This window comes from Homo sapiens, chromosome 5 (assembly GCF_000001405.40).
Source record: "Homo sapiens chromosome 5, GRCh38.p14 Primary Assembly".
Lineage (NCBI taxonomy): Eukaryota > Metazoa > Chordata > Mammalia > Primates > Hominidae > Homo > Homo sapiens.
The window spans coordinates 57,476,621-57,500,336 of NC_000005.10; the positions used below are offsets into that span (position 1 = coordinate 57,476,621).

Consider the following 23,716-nt stretch of genomic DNA (forward strand, 5'->3'; position numbering starts at 1 on the left):
AAATTATAAGGTGGTTAGGACATCAGATTTGGAATAGGATGAAAAACAAAGCAGGAAAACTTGAGGAGGCTCTAGAGTCTTCATTACTTATGGGATTAGTTTTTTTTTTAAATTACAGTTATAACTCAAACAGTTCCTTTTACATTTAAAAAGGAAGTCTTAAAGTATAAATTAATTTTAATGAGTAGTCTGTCTACTGATATACACATATATATCTTTAAAGACATTCCAGCTGTACTTATCAACATCTGGAAGCAGTACTGGGCAAACCACATGCTTAGTTCCTAACTTCAAACATTTTTTGAAAGGAATCTTTTGTAAACTTTGAAAGGAGCCTGTGAATAGTTACCAGAAAGGCACACTTTTTAATGTATTATAATGTCTGAATTGTTAGTCAGATATCTGAAACTGTCAACTCTAGAGCAATTGGAGCTTAGCAAAAAGAGAAAAATATCAGCAAGAATGCAGACAGATTAAAAGAGCTGAATATACTACTGTACTCTGTGAAAGCCTTTCTTTCTTTTTCTCCCCTTTTCTTTCATTTCTGTCCCTCTCTCTCTCTCTAAATCTTTCTCTTTCTTCCTTCTAAATTTCAGCAGCCACATAGATGGCACACGTTCCAAAAGATGAGGTTGATGATCCTTTGACCAATCAGAAGAATAACAAATTTTATGGACAAGTGAAAGACTATTAGAACCCAGCTCCGCTGGAGGCCATTATCCAAAGCAAATTAATGTAGAAACAGAAAACCGAATACTTCATGTTTTCACCTATAAGTGGAAGCTAACCATTGGGTACTCATGGACATAAAGGAGGCAACAATTGAAATTGGGGCCTACTGGAGGGGGGAAAGGATACAAAGTTTGAAAAGCTACTGGGTACTATACTCAGTACCTGGGTGATGGGCTCATTTGTACCCCAAATCTCAGCATCATGCAATATACCCAGGTAACAAACCTGTGTCAGAGGCATGTACCCTCTGACTCTAAAATAAAAGTTAAAATAAAGAAACCACATGAGAAGATCAGAGTTAAGATAAATGAGTGGTATTAAAATGATGTTAGTCTGGGCTGTGTGGTTATGTTGTCCAGCCCGCCACCACTATACTGTATGGAAGGTGGGTATCTTCTCCAGCCTGCCACCACTAGACCATTTCTGTATGTAAGGCAGTTCTCCTGTCTAGCCCACTGCTGCTGGACTCTCTTTCCTGTATGTAAGCTCTTAATAAAATCCCATGTCTTGTTAAAAAATGATGTTAATGATAATTTTGACTATGGAACAAATAACATTATGATGGGGAAAAAATAAAATCCAGCTCTACATGTTGAGATGCATGGGAGAAGTGGACGGAAAAGGAAAGAAAAGAGAGGAAGAAAGGAAAAAGAGAAAATATGCTTCAGAGGAAATATTCTACCAACAAAACAGATGCTAACAGACCAGGAACAGATGCTAACAGACCAGAAGCTGAGAATAGATTGGTAAAAAATAGACAATGCAGAACTGGGTTCACAAGGTACATCAGAATCCATGAACTCACTAACTTGTTAATTCAAATCAGGTTTATCAATATGATGTACCTGGCACTAGGAAAAGGCTGGAGGATTCAAAGGGGGAATAAATACTGTCCCCGTCTCTGTCCCCCAGGTGCATATTGATGATATTGGGGATGGGAATGGTGGACACATGTTTGCGATGTGTTTATGAGGCTGTATGCATGTAAGCAATACAGTAGGGATTCAAGGGAGGAGTTGTCACTTTTTCTTGGAAGAGGGGATCCTTTTCTAGACTTTCGAAGGATCCTTTTGAAATGAGCCTTTAAAATTGTGAACTTTTTTTGTTTCACATTTTTAAAATGAGTTTCTGGTACAGTCCAATGGAAGTATTCAAAATAAGAATTAATCACCATACCAGCCCCAATAATTAGTGATCATAATGCTGCCTGAGACACTTAAGAAAAGTTTTTGTGTTTAGTACAACTTGTTCTTTAAGCACAGTCTGGCATAGGACATTGAATTAATAATTGTGTAATGAGTGAACAAATATGGCAAAGTCCTTGTCACCCAAAGGATTATCCTTTGATTGCCTGGATAATGTAATACTCATATTTAGGCCCTCTGTATTACAGAATTGTGCATTGCATATCTAGATAGGGTATAGTTCAACCTGTATCCCAGGACTACTGTAGCTCACTATTGAAAAATAAGCACATTTATATGTTAGGAAAGAAGAGTAGAAGAGTGTCGGAACTGGCATTGGATCAGTCATGTTTTCAGAAAAATATTACCTGTGATTGGGAAATAACAGTGTGCAGGGAATTGTGATACAGCCCTGGCCTTATATTGCTACTCAGGAGGCATCACAGAGGGAGAATGAAAATCATTTACAGAGGTATGAAATTAATCTGAGAAGGCTGCTTCAGTGATGTCTCATCCTCAGAGGAAGATGGATGAAGCAAGTGTCTGGAGACCTTTCCTGTCCATGGAGCCTGTAATGTGCTGGGATTTTGAATTCTGTGGAGCTGTAATTCCTCTAGTTGGCTGTGCATTCAGATTTTTAGTGCTCATTCTAGACCCACTGCTCTGAGCCCAGGGCCAGGGACCCTATATTTATATAAAGTTCTCTAAATAACTTGGTTGATGAGCCAGGCTAATGATACATGAATAGCATGTTAATCGTATTACCTATGTAGATGTCATTCTTTGATTCTAAAATATAAAGTTGTGAAACAGGCTGTTTCTTCATTAAACTCATCCATAAGTCAGTCAATGTTGATAAAGAGAAGAATATCCCACAACTCTAGGTTTAAGTTTCTGGCATTTTACCAACTTGTTATCTAGAAATTGTAGATTTTATATATAATAAACTCTTAAATTACCACAGTAATTCAAGATTTATAATGCGTAGTTTGCATTATGGGGCTCATATTTTCACCTAATGTTGTGGGGCTCTATAGCTCACTCTCTTGTAAGTTCACATTACCTGTCCCATTTATAGTCTGTGGGTGGGAAGTCATATTTTTTTTTTTTTGGTAATTCAGAATGCAGGTCAGAATGTTTGTGAGAACTACTCACTCTGCAAATGGAATGCATTGCAGCATATAAATCCAAAATATTATGATTATTATTGTTGATGTTGTCTCTGCCTATTAATTACCTGAAGATCAGTTCATCCAGTAAAACCCAGCTTTAAAATTTAGATTATGAGACATCTATATAATGTTAAATGGCTAGCTATCCTTTTTTTAAAATTTGCCTTTTAATGTTTACATGATTAAATGTATGAGGTGCAAAATTGTAACATACAGATGAATAGGTCACACATATAAAAAGAGATGCTATCTGGATCATTCTCTAATTCTAAGGGAATGGTTGAGGAGAAATAACAGGAAATCTAAGTATACAAGTATGAAGCAATTTTAATGTACTGAAAGCAAGTTATATAAAATAAAGTGTTTTTGGAGATTAATTTTGGTTACATGCATTTTAAAGATTATGTTGTCAGATAAAGCCAATAAGGAATAATCAAATTATTTGAAAAGTATTACCTTAAACAAAAAATTCTTACTGATTCCATTTTAAAGATTTATAACATAAGTACAAGTTTCCCAACTAAGAAAAAAAGAGAAGTGATTCCTTCCTCCAGAGTACCTTATAATGCCTGAATAAGCAATCCAAATAAATATTTTAAATTTTCAGAAATTACCCTGAAAAATACAAATAATGCTGATATCCAAATATTCAGAAATCACTGCATAGATTGGAATAAACATACTGGTACTTAAAATTGGTTAATAAATCATCACTGGAGTAACTAAAATATTTTAGACATTATAGGAACATACATTGATATTTTCAAAGATGTTAGTATCTCAGAGACACTTTGCATAAATAAGTATTGCTAGTTACTGGACATAATAAAGTAGAATTATTCTAAAAGCTTTCCAAGGATAAAACTGTGTTAGTATACTGGTAGTAAAATGTATAATTAATAAAGATGCTGCAGCTATATTTTCCCACAGTGAAATCCTTGCACAAGAGAAGTATCTGTAATCCTGGTCTACAGAAATTATTTAAGATGTGCTATTACACTAAGAAATAGAAATAAAATTACCTCTGTCAAATTGTACCATAATGACATTAATTTGATATTATAATATCTATCTCTCTTAAGAATTAGACATTGTCTGTAGTTTTGGTATGAGAAGGTTCAGTAAGAAAGATATTAAAATATAATTTGACCAGCAGAACTCCACTATGAGCTGAAAATTTAGATGATTTATAAACATTAATGGAATGGTGGCTGTCTCATTATGCTTATTTAGTAAGGGAAACAATTAAAATATGTACCTAGTACAACGATGACTTTTGGGAGTAAAGAAATTCACATTAGCTGTTCAGATAGCTAGATACATCAGCATATTTCACAATATATTTTATTTCCCTGGTGCTTATGTATATATGGATATTATTGAACTTTATAATTCATTATCTCCATACAAAGAAGTAAACAAAACAAAGATACTTAACTAGTAAGACACGGCTGCTAAATGCATACGCACCTTTTTTTTTTAAACAAGTTTATACAGCCTGTTCTTGTTAAATATTTTAGCGAGAACTAAGTTTTAAAGCTTGATAATTATAGTTATCCATTCTGAAATGACATTTCTCGTGATTTTACTCCTTGTCACTTATATGTATTTAAGCTGGCCTACCTATCTTTGAACAGTATAGGCAAAGAAAAAGGAATATGGTATTAGAATTCACCTTCACTTGATGGAGAACCGGATGTGGTTATCTGGGTAAGAGCCCAGGTTACTTGGATGGAGAGATGGGTTTGCTGGTTTACACTAGGAAGAGTGACGTATTTACCTCGATTCTACTGAAAGCGGATAAAAGCAGTACCATCACTGTGACCTAGGAAAAGGGAAAATGTAAGCCCACTAATATGGAAGCCCATTCAGAAACATTTTCTGTGAACGATAGGAGGACCAGCCTCATCATATTCCTGCTTACTGATCCACATCTGCTGGAATGTGGACAGGCTGGCAAGGATGGAGCCCCCAATCCAAACAGAATACTTCCGCTCTGGGGGAGCTATGATCTTGATTTTCATGGTGCTGGGTGCCAGGGTTATGATTTCTTTCTGCATCCTGTCAGCAATGCCTGGGTACATGGTGCTCCCTCCAGATAACACGGTGTTGGCATAGAGATCCTTGCGAATATCCACATCGCACTTCATGATAGAGTTGAAGGTTGTCTCATGGATCCCACTGGACTCAATGCCCAGAAAGGAAGGCTGGAAAATGGCTTCAGGGCATCGGAAGCGTTCATTCCCAATGGTGATCACCTGCCCATCAGGAAGTTCATAGCTCCGTTCCGGTGAGGAGGATGCGGCTGCCCTGACCATCTCCTGCTCAAAGTCCAGGGCTACGTAGCACAGCTTCTCTTTGACATCTCGCACAATCTCCCGCTCAGCAGTGGTGGTGAAGTTATAGCCTCGCTCTGTCAGGATCTTCATGAGGTAATCAGTCAGGTCTCTCCCTGCCAGATCCAGGCGTAGAATGGCATGAGGCAGGGCATAACCTTCATAGATGGGCACGATGTGAGTGACCCCATCCCCAGAATCCATCACGATGCCTGTGGTCCGTCCTGAGGCATAGAGGGACAGCACAGCCTGGATGGCGACATACATGGCTGGTGTGTTGAAAGCCTCGAACATGATCTGAGTCATCTTTTCCCGGTTGATCTTGGGGTTCAGGGGTGCCTCGGTGAGGAGGATGGGATGCTCATCTGGTGCCACACGGAGCTCATTGTAGAATGTGTGGTACCAGATCTTTTCCATATCGTCCCAGTTGGTGACCACTCCATGCTCGATAGGATACTTCAGGGTCAGGACGCCTCTCTTGCTCTGAGCCTCATCTCCCACGTAGCAGTCCTTCTGGCCCATGCCTACCATAACGCCCTGGTGTCGAGGACGCCCTATCATGGAGGGGAACACAGCCCGGGGGGCATCGTCACCACCAAAGCCTGCCTTGCACATCCCTGACCCATTATCCACTACCAAGGCAGACAGCTCATTGTCAGTCATGGTGCTGGCTGAGATCTTCCAGACGAGTGAACAGGACAAGTGAATAGACAGTGAGTAAGAGAAAGTGAACAGGCCTAAAACACTCCAGAAATGCTTTCAGACACGGGAGGCTGCACCGGGACCACAGGTATTTAAAGGAACACACTGACTCCGCCCATGTCCTACTCCACCAGTTCCCAGCATTTCTGGATGAGGTCATCTCTGAGGTATTAATGATGGTGATGATTACATAAACAATTAGATCTTTCTACATAAAGAGAAAATTGGCTGCCAAGTGGTCAAATCTCAGGTTCCTGTAATTAGGCAACCCACACATGACCGTCAGCCTGCCTGGTGAGGTCTCTAGATAACTATGATGATGCAGTGGGGGATATAAAAGCAAGATGAAAGAAAGCTGGTGCTAGGTATGGCAACACTGCTGGGAGGAAGGCTCCCTCCTTAGCGTCCCTGAGGATTCACTTTTCCTACACTAGCTTACCTTTTCATTCTTAAGATACTGTTCTGATGAGGGGTCTTACCCTGCAATCTTCACTTTTTCAAGATTTTTGTTTCCATTAGATTCCTAATCCCACAGGGTGTCATCATCGTAGAGACTGTTTTAGTAAATGAAAATAATAAATGGCTAAGGATGGCCTGATGGCTGTAATTACAATGCACTTGTGTCAAGCAAAATGTAGAGATATTTAATAGACTTCTAATCCATCAGAGATCAAGCGAAAGGAATAGAATGATTGCTAAAGTTAACCCATATAGATACTTTTTTCTGATATAAATTTCTAACAACCAAATTTCATTAAACATTTACTGTGTCTAGACATTGTTCATAGAACCAGGTTCATTGGGTCCATGTTAATTGTATAATGACTGAATGTCAACTATTTTGCATGATTTATTAAGATGCAGGTTATAAAAATTTATTTATTTGCAACAACTCTTGAGTTCTGCAACAATGGACAAAATGAAGTGATAAGACAAATTTGAAAAATTATATATTTAAACTAATCCTTAAAACATTTTGATCTTCAAGATACATATACTATATTATAACATTAAACCTCTATGTAGTTATTAAAATCTATACAATTAGAATTATACTAGCTTTCCTTCCATTTCAAGATATATTACACCCTGATCACTTCATAGCAACAATTTGTTTGGGTTCCATGTTTCATATAGAAATACAGACTACCTGAAAAGATGTGTATGATGGTAAAATGTAGGACATCAGCAATGTGTTACAGAGAAATAGCATTTAAGAAAGCTCATTACTTCTGCTCCCCTATGTGTTAGGCGAATAGAATATAATTATCTTTGTGAGCTCTTGTAAAGCAAAGAAATTTTCCATGTCTACATCTGAGTTCTCCAAAATAATCTTTATTTGGGTTCATCATTCATTCATTTACCCAATAAAGCTTGCTTTGTAAGAGGTAGCACAGCCCCTATTTACTGGACAAAAAACACCCTCCAGCTCAAGGCCAGGAGAACTAACCTGAGTCTTTGCCCAGTGAGCCTCTTGGAGAGTCATGGTGTAGCATCAAGCTGTGAGCATCCAGCCCTCTTCTTTGTCTATAGCTTGATATAGATTTATTTTATCCAGTGCTGTAATATGCCTTCAAAACCTTTCTGGTGACAATCAGTCATGGCAGAATGTATGTTTCATCACAAGATCCATGGTTTTGCTTTAGGGCTCACCAAAACAGTCCTTTCCTTTAATCTTTTCTGTAACTGCAAAATTCCTTCTTCAACAGTGTTAAAAACCTTCACACTGAATGGTTTTATGAACTTCCTTGTTATGTAGTACAACCAAGCTTTTGATTAAAACAACATTTTATTGCTATAGGATGGTGCTTCTGGGAATTTTTTAAAATCCCATAACAAACTACATGCACATTTTACAAAATGGAAAAAATGAAATACACATTGTATTTAGCACAAGTCCCCATTTATGAATGCTCCGGTCTGGAATATAAAACAAAGCCAAGTTGGTGGAAATGTTAGTGGAGGAGCCCACATAGTACCAAGTGCAGCCTTAGATCCTACACTTACTAGAGTGCTGTCCTTAGAATCACCTTCAACTAAGGGATATTTGGTACTGAGTCCACACAGCATAACTGATGCCTTGAGAGTGTGGCTGATGTGTGATTTTGCTAGAGACTGTCTAGCCTGCTTTAATTCCGGTGTCCCAGGAGCAAATTTCATCAGTTATGTATTCTTAAAATAAGCTTATGCTCTTCTAATTAACTCTCAATAATGCAAGAGGTGCTTATCACAATTCAACAGCCATTAAAAATGTCATCTGTTGAGTTGGTTAAATTTTTAAAAAGTAGTAAGAATTTGTGTTGAGTAAAACATAGAAAGATGGGTTTACAAATACTGGGCTCTGGAAGCTGTGAGTAGGGAGTACTGTTCTTGGAGGTAACAGACTTTGTAACTGACCAGAATTTACAAATGTTTAATTAATTACCTAAACCTTTAGGGCCCTTCAAGGTTCACTCATGGAAGCCCAGAATATTCTTTTTCTTTTACATTTTGCCTAGTTTGACTATCATGCAGATACACGAAACTAGAGTGAGGTTTAAGTATGGGCATTAAATATGAAGACAACTGGTGGAAGCTACCGTGTCTCCTTGCCTTGTCTTTGTCAACCTTAGACTTTTCAAGCAATCCGCAAACATTTATTAAACATCTCCTATGTTCTGGGCACTGGTGATATATCAATGAATAAAACACAGCCCTATTTTTAAAGAGTTCACTGTCTTGTGGGTGAAAGTCACCTTACCCCAGGCCGACAGGTGGCCGTTTGGCACTGGTATGATACAGCCGGCTTATGTTCTGATAGGGCTCTGCCAGCGCTGTTCCAGTTGTTAAAGATCTTGAATGTCACTCCCAAATACACAGATAACAGGTATACAACACGGGAGATGAGAGAAGGAGCTCAGGGAGACATAGAGGTGGAATGAGGGGCCCCTGAACCTGAGGTCAGGGCAAAGAGAAGGAGAGGCCAAAGGAGATGACCCCTGGGCTGAGTCTCAGAGGATGGGCAGGAGGCTGTCACTGGCCAGTGGAGGTAATATTGCAGGCATGAGCATCACAGCTTGGATGAAACCAGAGAATCAATTATGTGTTTGGAACTAGGAGGCTGCCAGCAGCCAACGGAGGCAGTATTACAGCAGCACCAACAACTTGGATGAAATCAGAGAATCAACTATGTATTTGGAACTAGGTCTCTACACAGAATCAGCAAGAGTTTAGAGGCTTACAACAAGAGTCTGAATCTTCACAGGCATGTGGAAGGAAGAGGAACTCCAGAATTGGGTGTTGCTTTCTCTCCGTAGTACATGAGATCTAAGAAGAGGCTCTTACCCATGGGTCATGGAGGCCCTGTCTTAGTGATCATCTCCTGTCTAGGCTCTCATCTGTTTAACTGAACTGCTGAGATTATGCATTTTAATGAGGCCTCGTTCAGCCTCCCCCCTAGGGATGCAATTTAGTACATGGAGGTCAGCTGCCTGCCTCTCTGTCTTCACTTGGTTCCTTCCTTGTGTACCACACCCTCTTTCCTTCTATCCTTGGCTGATTTTGCACACGTCTACCTCTCTAGTGTGGTGATGCTCTGAGAATCTCTTTCAACTGTACTCTGCTCTTAGTGGAGATTTGTAATGTGTTTCAGAAATAGATACATGAATGTTGTAAGCAGTGTGATTTGTTTTCATTATATACTCATCTGTTCATTCATAGCTAGATATAGCTGACCACTTCTTAAAAGTTAAAAAGCTTATTTATTTTGTGGTTAAATACTGCCTAAGGTTTATATTTCATATTGATGAAATGGCTTAAACATGGTATCTTACGATACCAAATAATCTCTCTGGAGATTATTTGCAGTTTGTAAGATACCATGTTTATCTCTCTGGAAAAGAGAGATAAAATGGTAAAGATAATTACCGTTACTTCTCTCTGGAGAAGTCTCAACATATGGCTTTAATATTTCTTACAAATAGTAAATCCACCAATAATAATTACTGATAGAGCTTATTGTGATTTTCTGTTTGTTTGAATATATAGAACTATGTAAAAAATGGCATGAAAAATCAGAAATACAACAAACACTTCCTCAAGTAAAACCTGACTCACCTATTTCCTGAGGCAGGCATGGGCAGAAAGGAGGAAAAAGTGGCTTTGGTGAGGTACGTCTTGACCAGTTCCAGGATGCATTTGGAAGGAAAATATTAGCATAAGAATCTTTTCATTGGTGCAGTTGACCACAGCTCCCAGCCCCTATCTGGTGTGAGCCCACTGTCTGTGAACAAAACCAGCTTTCACTCCACAGGGCAATAGCGCTCCCCCCGATGGATAAAGGGCCTAACGTAGATTTTATGGCACTTCTTCCTAACTAACTTTTAAAATATGCCATAGATCAGCTTTTGGCTATTTCAATTGACCTGTAAACAAAGTTGTTAAGAGGAAGAACAGATTCCTGTGTGTGGTGGATGAACCTTTGGAAATGCCTTGATTCTAAGGAAAGGGGAGAAGAAACAGTTGTAAAATCGGAAGCATCAATATTCACAGTTCAGCCGTTACTGATGGGAACCATATATCATCCAACACAGATAAGCATCATGTTGTGTTCTGATCCTGAAAGGTGAAGGGGATAACAATAAAAATAGTGATTACGGATCATGTAGTATGTGCCAGTCTCTACGCTAAATCCCTTACACATATCATTTCTTTAGTCTTCATGACAACCCTATGAGGTACCTAGGATTATCATCCCCATTTTAGAAGGAATAAACTGAAGCTTGAAGAGGAAACTGACCAAGGCTATATAGAGCCACCACGGTAGTGTCGGGATTTAGAACCCAAGACCAAGCCCTGAGCCCAATCTCTGCCCAACGATGAGCTAAAAGAAAGGGCACAGGGTACCTGGCTGGCTCCTAGTAAGAGCGGCAGCCAACAAGGACCGTCCCTGTGAAGTCTTTGTATTCCCTGTTGGGAAACAACATCTGAAGTTATCCAAATGCCATCTCAGAGTGAAAATCAGGCTGAATATTGGAATCAAGAGAAGAAAATCAAATAAAAATCTAGAGAACCGTAGCAGGTCCTTCCATGTTATTAATATTAATATCAGGATATCTTACTCTCAAAATGGAGAAAACAAAATGACGAGTTAATGCCTGAACTGAGAAAGAAAGACATTTACAAGTAAAGAGGCAAATCTTCTATTATCTAAAATAAGAAAATAATATGAGAGTGATTTCAGGAGAGGATAGTAGGATAGGCAAGGGGACTATTAAAAAGCAAAAACTAGATCAAGAAGACAGATGCATCCTTTGGATATCAGCCAAGAGAGAATTGCGGCCTGCCAGGTGTCAGCTTTCAGACCCCAAATGGCATTGTCTTCAAACCCCTGGATTTGACCATGACATGCCAAGGTGTGAATAGTAGAAAGTGGAGAAGGGGGCTCTGCTTTAGGAAGTGGGGTGAGCCTGGAGTAATTGAGCAAATCTGATGTCTCTAAAGCAGGCCAAGAGGGGAAGCCAATCCAGATGGACAGGAACCACCAGATTATAGAGGTGAAGGAAGCAAAAGTAGAGAACAGGAAATCAGGTCAAAAGAAAGGCCCTGATGATCAGACCACCGTAAAGAGTATGTCTTGGAGTCGAGAAAAATTCATTTGGGAGCCGAGATAATTCACATTGCATGAGTGACCCAGGGCCTGCAAGGCTTTGAAGGGAAGATCTCACAGAGAGTTGGAGAGGAAATGACTCAATGCAGCTGTGACCTGATACAGACCAGGGCCAGAGAACACAGGTCCTGAAAGGCTAATTTAAATCAATCCAGACTGTCATAAAAGCACAAAGAACAAAAAATGCTTTGCAGTTACTAAGTAATGGTCAGTGTTTATTCTTCATTCCGGTGACAGCTTTGTGTCTGACTTTGTGACAGCTTAGGTATCATGCCGGATTTCCTGCACATTTTCGTGAAGACCATCTAGAAGCCCATGCCTGCTTATAACTGGCGAGATGGGATTATGGCTTGTCAAGCAGCAGAACACACCCAGTGTCTCCTCTCCTACAGAGCGTCTGCTGCTATGGACATGTGCTGCCCTGGGAAAAGTCCACTGAAGGTGGATGATGCAGATGAAAAGGCTACTTCACTTTTGGAAGCTGCCTAATTCACTTCCAGGAGCAAACTTTTTGATCGGTAGGATATGACTCAGTGTAAGTTTTTTTTTCTTTTTTCTTTTTTCTTTTTTTGCCAAGGGAAACAGGGTTTTTGGGGATCTTAGGAGACACAGGTAAGAAATTATTTCAGGTATCTCGAATTAGTAAGGCTTCCTGAGGATATTTTTATTCTACTTTTGCTGACATCAAGGAAGCACTTTATCTCTTTTCAGAGCAAAAATGAAGGGGTAGGAAGGCCCTGTGAGGTGCAGTTCAGGGGAGGAGGGGAACAGAATTTATAAAAGAAATAGGAATCCTAGATGAAAGCAAGGACAACAGACTATTAGGACTTAAAACCTGCTTAATGATGGTTTCCCTTCCTTTAGTTGCCATGTCACCAAGTCCAGGAAAAATAGCACTGAAGAAACTGCAGAAAAGACAATACTAGTATAATATTTGGTCTTAAGGTATCTAAATGCCATCTCAGAGCAGAAACCAGGTGGAATCTTGAAGTCCAAAGAAAAAAACCAAATAAACTTCTAGAGAACCACAGCAGGTTCTTCCATGTTATTAATACTAATATCAGGATATCTTCCCCTTAAGATGGAGAAAAAGATATGCTCAGTTGATGATGCCTGGATGAGAAAGAAAGCCATTCTTTCTGGATTGCTTATTCAGTCCAGATCACAGCTTAGTGCAGAGTACACAGACTGGGATCCTCAGCATGACTATGTTGGCCCACACAACGTCCTACAAACATTTTCAAATTTTTAGTTTTTAATATTTGTAAAATAAGTATATTTTTGAATTCCCACTTCTCTTATTAAAAAAAAATAGAAAGATCAAGCAACACTGAGACCTTATTCCCAAACTAAGCTGAATAGCAGCTACTCCCCTTAGAAGAGGTGCGGATTCTCCATTTCCCCTTGGCCTCCATGTTCCTGTAGCATGGCTCCTATCCAAGAAGGACCACTAATGGAGGCAAGTGAATTCATGTGCAGTAAGCATGCATTTGAGGGTGGAGCATGCATTTCATGTGGAGAAAAGGACAAGTGGGAAGCCGGTGTTCTATGGTCCTTTTTCTTTTGGGGATGGATTGGTATTGGTATCTACAAGAACAGAATATAAAATACTATGTGGCTACATTTCTTTAATCATATGAAAAATGCCGAAATGTAACACTTAGTCTTGTTGATGGAAAGAGTCAGACTGTGTAAAATATTTGAAGAGATTTACTCTTAGCCAAATATGAGTGACCGAAGGCCTGTGACACAGCCCTCAGGAGATCCTGAGAACATGTTCCCAAAGTGGTCAGGGTACAGCTTAGCTTTATACATATTAAGGAGACATGAGACATCAATCAAATAAATGTAAGATGTACATTGGCTCAGTTCAGAAAGGCAGGACAACTGGAAGCGGGGCCTTTCAGGTCATGGGTAGATTCAAAGATTTTCTGGTTGGCAATTGGCTGAAAGAGCTAAGTTATGGTCAAACACTTAGGAATGTCTGGGTTCAGATAAGGGGTTGTGGAGACCAAGGTTTTTTCATGCAGGTGAAGCCAGCAGGTAGCGGGCTTCAGAGGGAATAGATTGTAAATGTTTCTTATCAGACTTTAAGTCTGTTCTATCAGTATTTCCAAAAGGGAAGAGGGTAGAATGAGGCATGTCCGACTCTCCTTCCTATAATGGCCTGAACTAGTTTTTCAGTTTAGCTTTGGGATGCCCTTGCTGAAAGAAGGGGTCCTTTCAGATGGTTGGGGGGTCTAGAATTTTATTTTTGGTGAGCAGTCTTCAGAATTTTATTTTTGGCTTGCAGTCTTTAGGAATTAAAAAGGAATACAATTCAGAAGATTGCAGGGCAGGAAGAGAGGTTCTGTCCCTCTTTGTTTTACTGAGGATGAGATATGGTGGAATGCATTTATGTGACAAAAGGAAGAATTTTAACTAACAATTAGAATAAAATTGCTGAGAATATAATAAAATAAAACTGTTTTCTGGTTAGTTGTTTTGTTGCCACTTTGGAGAGAAAACTCAGAGGTCTGGCTCCTAGCATTTGTTTCTGTTTCTGTCTCTGGTAGAATGGGGTGAAAGAGACTGGAACAGGTTTTTAAATGATGTTATCACTTCTGGGGACTTTGTCTAAATTTTATTTCTTTTATTTTTTAGCAGGAGGGCTATCTTTATGAAAGAAATAGAAGCATTTTGACTTCTTCAGATCATTTTCCTCTGAAACTGGGTTCTTTGAAGCAGGGCACCCAAAGATGCCATAATATAAGAATTTGCCAAAGGAAAGCCTTGCTCGAAGCATTCAGGGCAAGCCCTCTTTCTTTTCACATCCAGTTACAAATGGCATCTGGGTCAAACTAGTAGAGTATCATAAATAGACTTTAGGACTAAACTTAAAGAGGAAGAATTCTTTTGTTGATATCCCTGGTTGAGATTAATGATATTTTCGGTTCCAACCAGAAAGGAAAAAAAGGGTTACAGGTTAGATAAAAGGCTAATTGGAAATATTGTATAGAACATAAAAAAATGCAAAATAATTTAGGAATATTTACCCAAGGGTAAGATTGCCATAAAAAGCAGAGTGAATGGGGAGAGATATGAGGCAGTTTCATTTATTTTATGAAATTCATATATTCATTTATGGAAATAAGAGATTAGAGTATGAGTCACATAAGAACATGTCACTCCCTGTTTGAAAGCTTTTGATGACTTTCCATTAGCTGTTGAACAAAGTAAACTTCTTGGTATAGACTTTAAGGCCCTCTATTATCTGGCTCCGACCTACTTCCCCAGGCTGATATTTTAGTATCCTTTCTCCTCCCCTGCTCGTGAACCTTATGCTCCAGTCTTTGGAACTAATTGCTACTCCTAGAGAGCCCGTCACTCAGAATTGCTGACACTGCTTACTCCACTGGAAATGTCCTTCCCACCTTCTCTATCCTTTGACATTTAATCCATCTTTGAGAGCCCATCTTAGATTCTCACCAGTTTCCCCAGGAGGAGTGAATCTGATGCATCTCTAAAGTCCCGTAGCTTATATCGCTATTGTAGTTCTTTTCTCTTTTTGTTTTATATTACTTATGTATGTGGTTTTCTCCTTCACTATACTCTCTGTATCATCTTCACATTCTATTTCTAACAGTGTCTAGAACATGGATTTCCAACTCTAGTTGTTTACTCATTGACTATTGTACTTCCCATATTTATTTTTAAACTGAAGATTGATTGGGTTATGTTAACATTTCAACATGTTATAGATTTAATTTCTAGCTTAACATAGCTAAACCAAATTTATTAGTTTCTCCCAAGTGCTCTGTTTATATAAATGTTCTCAATATTTTGAAAAATCACTTAATTTTCTAATTTGAGAATTACATTTGACTCAACCATTTAATTAAATTAATTAATTAATTAATTAATTGAGACAGAGTCTCACTCTGTGCACAGGTTGGAGTGCAGTGGCACAATCTAAGCTTACGGCAACCTCTGCTTCCCAGGCTCAACCAATTCTTGTGCCTCAGCCTCCTGAGTAGCTAGGATTACAGGTGTGTGCCACCATGCCTGGCTAATTTTTTGTATTTTTAGTAGAGACGGGATTTCGCCATGTTGGCCAGCCTGGTCTCGAACTCCTGGCCTCAAGTAATCTGCCCACCTCAGCCTCCCCAACTGCTGAGATTGTAGGCATGAGCCACCGTGCGCGGCCTCATTTAATTCACTTTTGAAAAACAAAGTATAGTATGACATCACATTCTACTGAATATTCTTTGGGATATTTCTTATAACCTTTGCTGCTTTCTGCCCCTATTTGCTTTGCTTTAGTTCAGGCACTAGTCCCTTCATAGTTAGCTAATTTCCGGAGTACTTTGGTGAATAACTCTTCCAACCCCAAACCTTTCTAGAGACCACGGTCATAAAACTCTTAAGTCATGAATATTAAAATCTCCTGGGCTCCAAATTTGCTGCCACATAAAAACTAAAATTCTCTGCCTTGTGCTGGTCCTGCAGTAACTATGGAAACATAGTGATTAAGAATACAACTCTAGAATCTGGCAAAGCTAGATTTGTTCCCACACTTCCTAGGTTTGTAAAGTGGGGTGTTTCAGAGCTTCCCAAGTCTGTTTCTTCCTCCGTAAATGGAAGATAATAATTGTATTTACCTCATAAAGTTGTCTTGGAATTGACATGAGATGATGCCTCTAAAGTGTTTAGCAGTTTGCATGGTAAGAGCAAAAATTGGACAAAATATTAGCAACACTCGTTGCATTTTCTGTGACTCTCCAGGATGCTTGCTCAGCTCTGGTCAGTGGAGCCTATTCACTGTGAAGCAGGGTCAAGAATGGTAGCACAACATTCCTGGCAGGTATCCTAATGGGTACTGAGCCAACCCCATGTATTGGGTAGGAATCTATTGTTAGCACAAGAAAAGGAAGCTTGGGATGGCTAAAGTGAGGTAGACAATTGGTGAAAGACACTGAAGCAAATATCTAGTGTTTGACTTGAGTGGTTTGAGTTCTGTAAACCAGGCAGAGGCTCATTCTATTGTGTCAGGTGTGGCAACATTCTCTATGGAAGCTAAATTGTTTTTTGGGATTCATTGATTTAGGCAGTGTCTAGATGTGAAGAGACAAGACAGGAGATGTCTCTTACCTATCTAGATGTAGTGCTTTTTTACTCCTGGGGTTTGGAGGTATGGGATGTTCTGTGTGCTCCTATGATGCTCCACACTGACTTGATGCCCACTGGAGTTGTGTGGAGATGCTGAGCACATCCCCGGAATGGGCTGGGAGATGATATGAAGGCTTCGCATAAGTGACCCTGACATCTGAAGCAGGCTCTTCTGCATAATCAGTGATGCTTATAGGCAGAAACTAGATACCTGTAACTAGATATCTGTGGGCCATTGGATGTCAGGAAAGGTTATTAGCATATTCTGAAGCACCTGTTCTGGCCATTTCTTACTGGCTTGAAAGTCATTGCCCTGTCCAACAAGGCTACGTTGTATACCTTGCAATTTGTTTCAGTTTAGAGCACAGGCATTTGTTTATGTAGTTAGAATTTTAAACACTGATGGAATAGTTTCTAATTTGTGCCTGAGAGTTTACACATAATCTGCGAGCATACAAAAATTTGCAATTCTATGTGGATGATGGTTTAAACATCAGCAGGGAAAAGTAATATGCTTTTATTGTATATTTTAGAATGCTGATTGAATTGGCTTCTCACTGTATTTGTCAAGGCTGGAACAGACGATGGCACTGCAGAATCTTATGTGCACAGAAGAAATCTACAGACATTCAATGAGGGGAGGATTTCGTTCCATCAGATGGGCTTCCTGACATAATTGCAAAGGTAGCATGGAATAGAGAAAAGAACATTGGAGTGGTTCCAGAATTCTAGGTGGTTTCAGATTTTTTACTAATTACTCAGGTGGCTTTGGGCAAGCCACTTAGCTTCATAGACTTCTGTTTCCTCATCTGTAAAATGAAGTGAGGAGACTTCTTGTTAAGTTTGGCAGATTAAACACTTGGGTTTATCTACATGTTCTCTCCAAACACCACTAAACTTTGCAGTAAGGAAATAAAAAGACATTAAAAACAATGATAAAGAGAGCAGGACAATAACAATAACAGCAATAACATTTTTAAAGCAAGAGAGAGGTGAACCAGTGGTAACTCAGCCCTGAGGAAACAGAGCCTCCATGGGAGTGGGGGAGGCCCAGAAGCAAAAGTGGTCTTACTAGAGTCCCAGAAAGACTCAGTAATGGAAACCTAGGAACTTCCAAAAGTGGGGACAAATTAGGGTCAGAAACAGGGAAATAGGCTGAAGATACGGATAAAAAAGCAAATTCATCAGAGAACTCCTCCCCAACCCTGCCCCTTATCTCTGAAGCTTTAGCTGGGAAAGCCGGGCTGACTCACTTCTGGTGAATGTGGTCTGCTCTCCTCCTGTAGGCAAAGCCCAGGCTCTTACATTGTGGCTGGGCAGGGTTCCAAGAGGGCTAGTCGAGGCATGCAAAGACTTTTGAGGCCTAGGCTTGGAACTGACACAGTGTCTCTTCTATGCATTCAGTTGGGCAAAGCAAGTCACAAGTGTAGCTCAGATTCAAGAGCTGGGGAGGGATAGGGTCTACCTCTTGATGGACAGGGCTGCAAAGTCACATTGCAAAGGAACGTGGCTACAGGGAAAGAAAGAGTTGTGGCCAGTTTTGGAAACAAGCTTAAGGCACAATAAGGATGAGATTCCTGAAAAATTCAGTTTTCAAACTTGCACACAAAAAGTAAGGCCATGTGCAAAAAAAGATTGAGGTAGAAAATTCACAACTTATGCAAAGCACTAGTAAAGACAATAATTGATACTCAGGAAATTAACTTGTACTATTGAGGCAGGCTGCGTGTGGCTGGGGCCTGTTACAATTGTTGTGAAGTCAGAGGAATAATTGAGAGAGAATGTTAGTAACACATACACAAGAGCAGAGCTGGTAGGAACTCCGACAATGCAGTAGAAGTGGCCTTCTCAGTCAGTGTGGCTGCCCTGAAGGTGCCACAGAGACAATACCACCTGCCAGGAGTCAAGAGTCCCACAGGTGTGGGGTGTAGCCGCTTCGAGGGTGAAGCCCAGGTTTAAGTACTTGTTTTTAATTTTCAAACCACAGGCAAACGGTTTCTATTGCCAGAGCAGCAACCATTAAAAACTTTTTCCTTTCCTACCGAAGGTTATACTTCTGCTCCACATCCTGTTTTCTTGAGCAGAGGAAGTATTGCATATAAATTAATTCTGCATTATACTGACATAATTTTTCTATTTACCAACTGCGTAGGAGCTAATTTGTATTATAAAACCACATCTGTTGTAAAATAGACTCCACAGAGGAATTATGTAAAAGTCTACATAGTGCATAGAGAGGTCCTCAGCCTCCTTTCCCAACCTGCCTTCAAGAACATGCTGGCAGCCAGGCTTTTATCCCTTAGGCAAGAGGGTGGATGAGCCTAATTGGAAAGGCATACAGATATCAACTTTAGGGATCCCTCAATCAAAAGCCCAGCCAAATCATCCTACAGAGCAGCCTGTCTCCTTAAGGCACAGAGCTTCCAGTCAGCTTTTTATTGCCTTGCTTTTAAAGGTTAAGGGACAGCCAGGGACATCAGCTATTTGACAAAAGCTTCTAATTTGAAAGACACAATCAACAGAAACAATGGGAACAAAAGGAACAGAAAGGAGGTAGGGACAATGTAAGGAATAGAAACAAAGAAAAAGCTAACAAAGGCAAAACTATAAATAATATCCTCTGAGTATAAAAGATGATATTGCATACATAAAATAAGAAGAGAATGTTATAAAAAAGAAATATTCAGAGAACAAAAAGAGCTCTTAGAGCTTAAAAAGAATATTGCACAAATGAAAATTTTAATAGAATTGTTGGAAGATAAAGTTGAGGAAATATCCCAGAAAGTATACCAAAATGACAGACACACACAAAAAGGATTTTTTTAAAAAAAAATTCGAGGATGAATCCAACAGGTACAATATCCAACTACTAGAAGTTACAGAAAGGAAAAAAAAAAGCAGAGGGAAGGATATTACAAAATAAATGAATTAAGAAAATTGCCCAGAACTGAGAGGCAAACCTATAGCTCGAACTGGTTAACTCACAAATAGGTGAAAGGACACACATCACACCTTACATCATTGCGAGAGTTTAGAACGCTGGCAGAGAGAGAAGGTCCTAAAAGCTTTAACTGGAAAAAAACTCCCAATAATCACAACCATAAAAATGAGAACCCAAGTATCATTAGTCTTGTCAATAGCAAAATGGGAAATTCAGAGGGAAAATGATATCCAGACTAGAGTTTTATACCCAGCCAATCTCACAATTAATATGAGGGAATAATAAATGCCTTTTCAGACACATGAAGACTCAACGATTTATCTCCCATCAACCTCTTCTTAGTTAATATCAGCCCATGTGCTCCAAGAAAACCAGAGGAAATATCAAGAAAGAAGAAAACATGAGACCCTGAAAATAAAAACCTCAACCCAGAAGGTATGCCAAAGAAATCTCCAGGGCGACGGGGAGGGAGATGCAGATGCCATAGCTGTGAAACTAGCTTGGAGAGCAGCAAATCCCAGAAGTGGGGCACAGAGGCTCCAGAAAAATGTTTCAAAGGGAAGGATGAAGGCTTATAGAATACCTGATTGCTTGAATGCGTTGAAAAAAATATTTATTCCTAGAAGTCTGGGAATGAATATTCATTAATATTGGATGAAGAAAATAGACTTTTATTGGCCGGGTGCAGTGGTTCATGCCTGTAATCCCAGCACTTTTGGAGGCCGAGGCGGGCGGATCACGAGGTCAGGAGATCAAGACCATCCTGGCTAACACAGTGAAACCCCGTCTCTACTAAGAATACAAAAAAAAAAAAAAAAAAAAAAATTAGCCAGGCGTGGTGGCGGGAGCCTGTAGTCTCAGCTACTTGGGAAGCTGAAGCAGGAGAATGGCGTGAACCCGGGAGGCGGAGCTTGCAGTGAGCAGAGATCGTGCCACTGCACTCCAGCCTGGGTGGCAGAGCCAGACTCCGTCTCAAAAAAAACAAAAACAAAAACAAAAATTAGACTCTCATTAAAGCAGAAAAAATATTTTGGTAATCTTACCATCCAGAGATAATCACTATTCTTGTTTTTACGTACATAGTTGAGACCTTTATGTATGTTAAATTTTGTATCTTTCTCACACATCCATATCACGAACATTTCCTCTAAATTATATAAAACATAAGCAAGAAATAAATTGATAAAGAGGAGCTTATGGTACATATCTTTTATAGGTCCTTTCCTTCTATAAGGTAAAATAATTTAATGAATTGGACTAGATACAATATTCTGAAATTGGGTGGAGGGTAGTGCCAATTTTAAATTATCCTGTCTACCTATCAAGTCATGTTTGCTTTTATTGGGTGGGTGCTCAGAATATGTGATCCTTGAAGAAATAAGCATCCATGTCTATGGAGACATGACATCACCTTTGGGAAAATGACTTTGTGACAATTTATCTTACTGTATTTGACAATAACAGTGACATGTTATATATGCAGAGTGCTGCTTATGAACTTTTAAGAGCTTTCTCTTGCTGTATCTCACTCAATTCTGACAATAACTCCATGAAGTAGGTAAATAGACAATTTTTTGTATCCCCAAAACATTAATATTTAATATAATGTAAATGTTACTAACAGTGTCTATCTTAAATAACACCTTGCATTTCTTCAGGATAGTGCTTTCTCAGGTAATATTGCATGAGATTCTTTGTTTAGGAGAATTGGGCTATAGGAAATTCATAGAAATGCTGGAATGCTAATGGAAATTTCATGCCTTGCCTATTTCTCTCCATCCACCCATCCATCCATCCATCCATCCATCCATCCTCCATCCATTGACTTGTAGTCTGACGGCTATAAAAGAGGTCACATGGATTATCAGATAATTCTTCTTTTTGGCCAATTGTGGAATCATGTCTTAGTGATAACACAGGTTTCTCTTCTCTTGCTCTGATGGTAGTTCCCTCAACATTTTCCCTTGGAATAAAATAAGGTCTGGATAGTAGTATTTGCAGGACCCCAGCAAGGGTAGAGGTGGGAAGTGGGAAAGGATGCTCCATTAAAACAGTGAGGAGGAAGAGCCATCCGATTTTATGCAGCTGCAAACTGAATGATGAACTGGACTGGGATCTGCAGGACTTGATGGGCCAGTCAGAATAAAATGTCCTAGTCTTTTTAAACAACAGTTTCTTTGCCTAAAACACAGAAATAGAATTCACACCTATTTCAAAGGCATGTTGTGAAGATCAAAATAAGTTTTTGCATCATTTTAAGATGTTTTGGAACCCTTGTGTTAAAGGAATTGGAAGCTTTCTACCTCTGGTGCATGAAAAATAACCAAAGTTCAGCCCATGCAGCCATGAAGAAGCTTGAGAAAGACCACCGCTAAGAATGGAAAGGGGGCCTATAACTCTGGTACACTATACTCCTGCAGCCCAAGAGCCAGCTTCTCCAAAAACTACAGGACGGAAGTGCAAAATCCCTCTCTATGCTCTTCTCAAAGCTCTTAGAGAAGTCCTTTTGGCTCTGTTATCCGCATGGGTTCTCTGTGTGTGTGTGTGTGTGTAGGAATAACAGCATGTTTGGCTGGTGGAACACCTCTGTCTTCTGAACCCTGGTTCTTCTTGATTTTCCTTTAATTAGAGTTGATTTAATTATTAAAGTTTCCTATTTTTTTTTAAGAAGGCAAGGAGTTCTATTGATTTATAATTTCCCTAGAGCTTATTGTTGTCTTGCTATGACCCAAAGAAAAGCGTGTGTGGAAAGAGAGGTCCTATCAGAGAGTTCTGAGGCCACTGATTGACCCTCCTCTTTCTACCCTAACTAAATATGAAAATAAAAGCAGGCAGCAAACATCTGTTATCTTTATCAGAAACCTGGACTTTCAGTTTCATACCACACACGTGAAATGGAGAAAACAAATTAACTGAAGGCACTGTAGACTCTGAGTCACATAGATGTATTTTTAATTTTAAACAATTGCTTGTCACAAAACTCAAAGTATTTTTTTTTCTTTTCAGTGTAGGAACGTGGGAAATGAGTGCGTAGTGTGCCTGCAGGGCTTGGACCTCGTGCCCTTGGAGCTAGGAACACGGTGCTTTTGGGATTCTCTTTCTATCCCCTAGATGGCAGCAACATTCTTTAGAGCCTAACTGGTAAAAACAAACAAACAAACAAAAAAAACACCTATGGAAAAGCTGCAAGTCCTGCCTGTTTAGTCTTGGCTTTCAAATTTACATAGTACCTTTACTGTGCTATTTATGTGACTGCTTGGCTTAGTGAGTCTACTATTTATTAATGAGAATACATGACTTTCTCTGTTGTATGGAAAAATAATGGTTTTGTATATCTAGGTCTGTTGGTATCTCTAGACCAGGGTTTCTCGCATTGACATGATTGACGTTTTGGGCTGCATAATTCTTTGTGGTAGGGAGCTGTGCATTGAAAGATGTTTAGCAGCATCCTTGGCTTTTACCCACCCACTAGATTCCAGTGGTACTTCTTCCCTCCCCACCTCAGTCATGACAACCAAAAATGTCTCCAGATATTGCCAAATATTTCCCGGGGGGCAAAATCAGCCCTGGCTGAGAACCACTGAATTAGGTTGTTTTACTTATCTCCAAAGATTAGCTCCTGTATTACTATCATTTAATTTTGTAGGGATGGTTAAATTAAAGCATATCTACTTACACTTTTTCTTTTCTTTTTCTTTTTTTTTGAGATGGAGTCCTGCTCTGTCACTCAGGCTGGAGTGTAGTGGTGCGAACTTGGCTCACTACAACCTCTGCCTCCTGGGTTTAAGCAATTTTCCTGCCTCAGCCTCCCAAGCAGCTGGGATTACAGGTGCCTGCCACCATGCCCAGCTAAT

The 23,716-nt window shown here is 39.5% G+C and overlaps 1 protein-coding gene and 1 long non-coding RNA gene across 2 annotated transcripts in view, besides 2 other annotated features; one reads left to right on the forward strand and one right to left on the reverse strand.

Annotated features, from left to right (window-relative positions):
• RMEL3 (enriched in melanoma 3) overlaps window positions 1-23,716 on the forward strand; it is a 140,307-nt gene that overhangs the window by 81,514 nt on the left and 35,077 nt on the right. Inside the window, exons 2-3 of the long non-coding RNA NR_186596.1 lie at window positions 17,455-17,605; window positions 20,160-20,297. This is a non-coding gene — a long non-coding RNA (enriched in melanoma 3). The remainder of the gene's footprint in view (window positions 1-17,454; window positions 17,606-20,159; window positions 20,298-23,716) is intronic.
• On the reverse strand, window positions 3,398-6,191 carry ACTBL2 (actin beta like 2). Its single transcript, NM_001017992.4, has one exon. It carries the CDS (start codon window positions 6,085-6,087, stop codon window positions 4,957-4,959), a length of 1,131 nt encoding a protein of 376 aa, NP_001017992.1. The 5' UTR covers window positions 6,088-6,191; the 3' UTR covers window positions 3,398-4,956.
• Window positions 17,674-18,873: an enhancer, noted in NCBI's record as "P300/CBP strongly-dependent group 1 enhancer chr5:56790121-56791320 (GRCh37/hg19 assembly coordinates)". NCBI's record gives its function as "activates an origin of replication core promoter dependent on BRD2, BRD4, P300/CBP, MED14 and CDK7 cofactors, with strong dependence on P300/CBP, by STARR-seq in HCT116 cells {active_cell/tissue: HCT116}" and the evidence as "EXISTENCE:reporter gene assay evidence [ECO:0000049][PMID:35650434]".
• Window positions 18,272-18,331: an enhancer, noted in NCBI's record as "active region_22582". NCBI's record gives its function as "activates an Ori minimal core promoter by ATAC-STARR-seq in GM12878 lymphoblastoid cells {active_cell/tissue: GM12878}" and the evidence as "EXISTENCE:reporter gene assay evidence [ECO:0000049][PMID:35858748]".

Coding starts and splice junctions, on each gene's coding strand:
- ACTBL2 (NM_001017992.4), bottom strand. CDS start 6,087: ATGACTGACAATGAGCTGTCTGCCTTGGTAGTGGATAATGGGTCAGGG.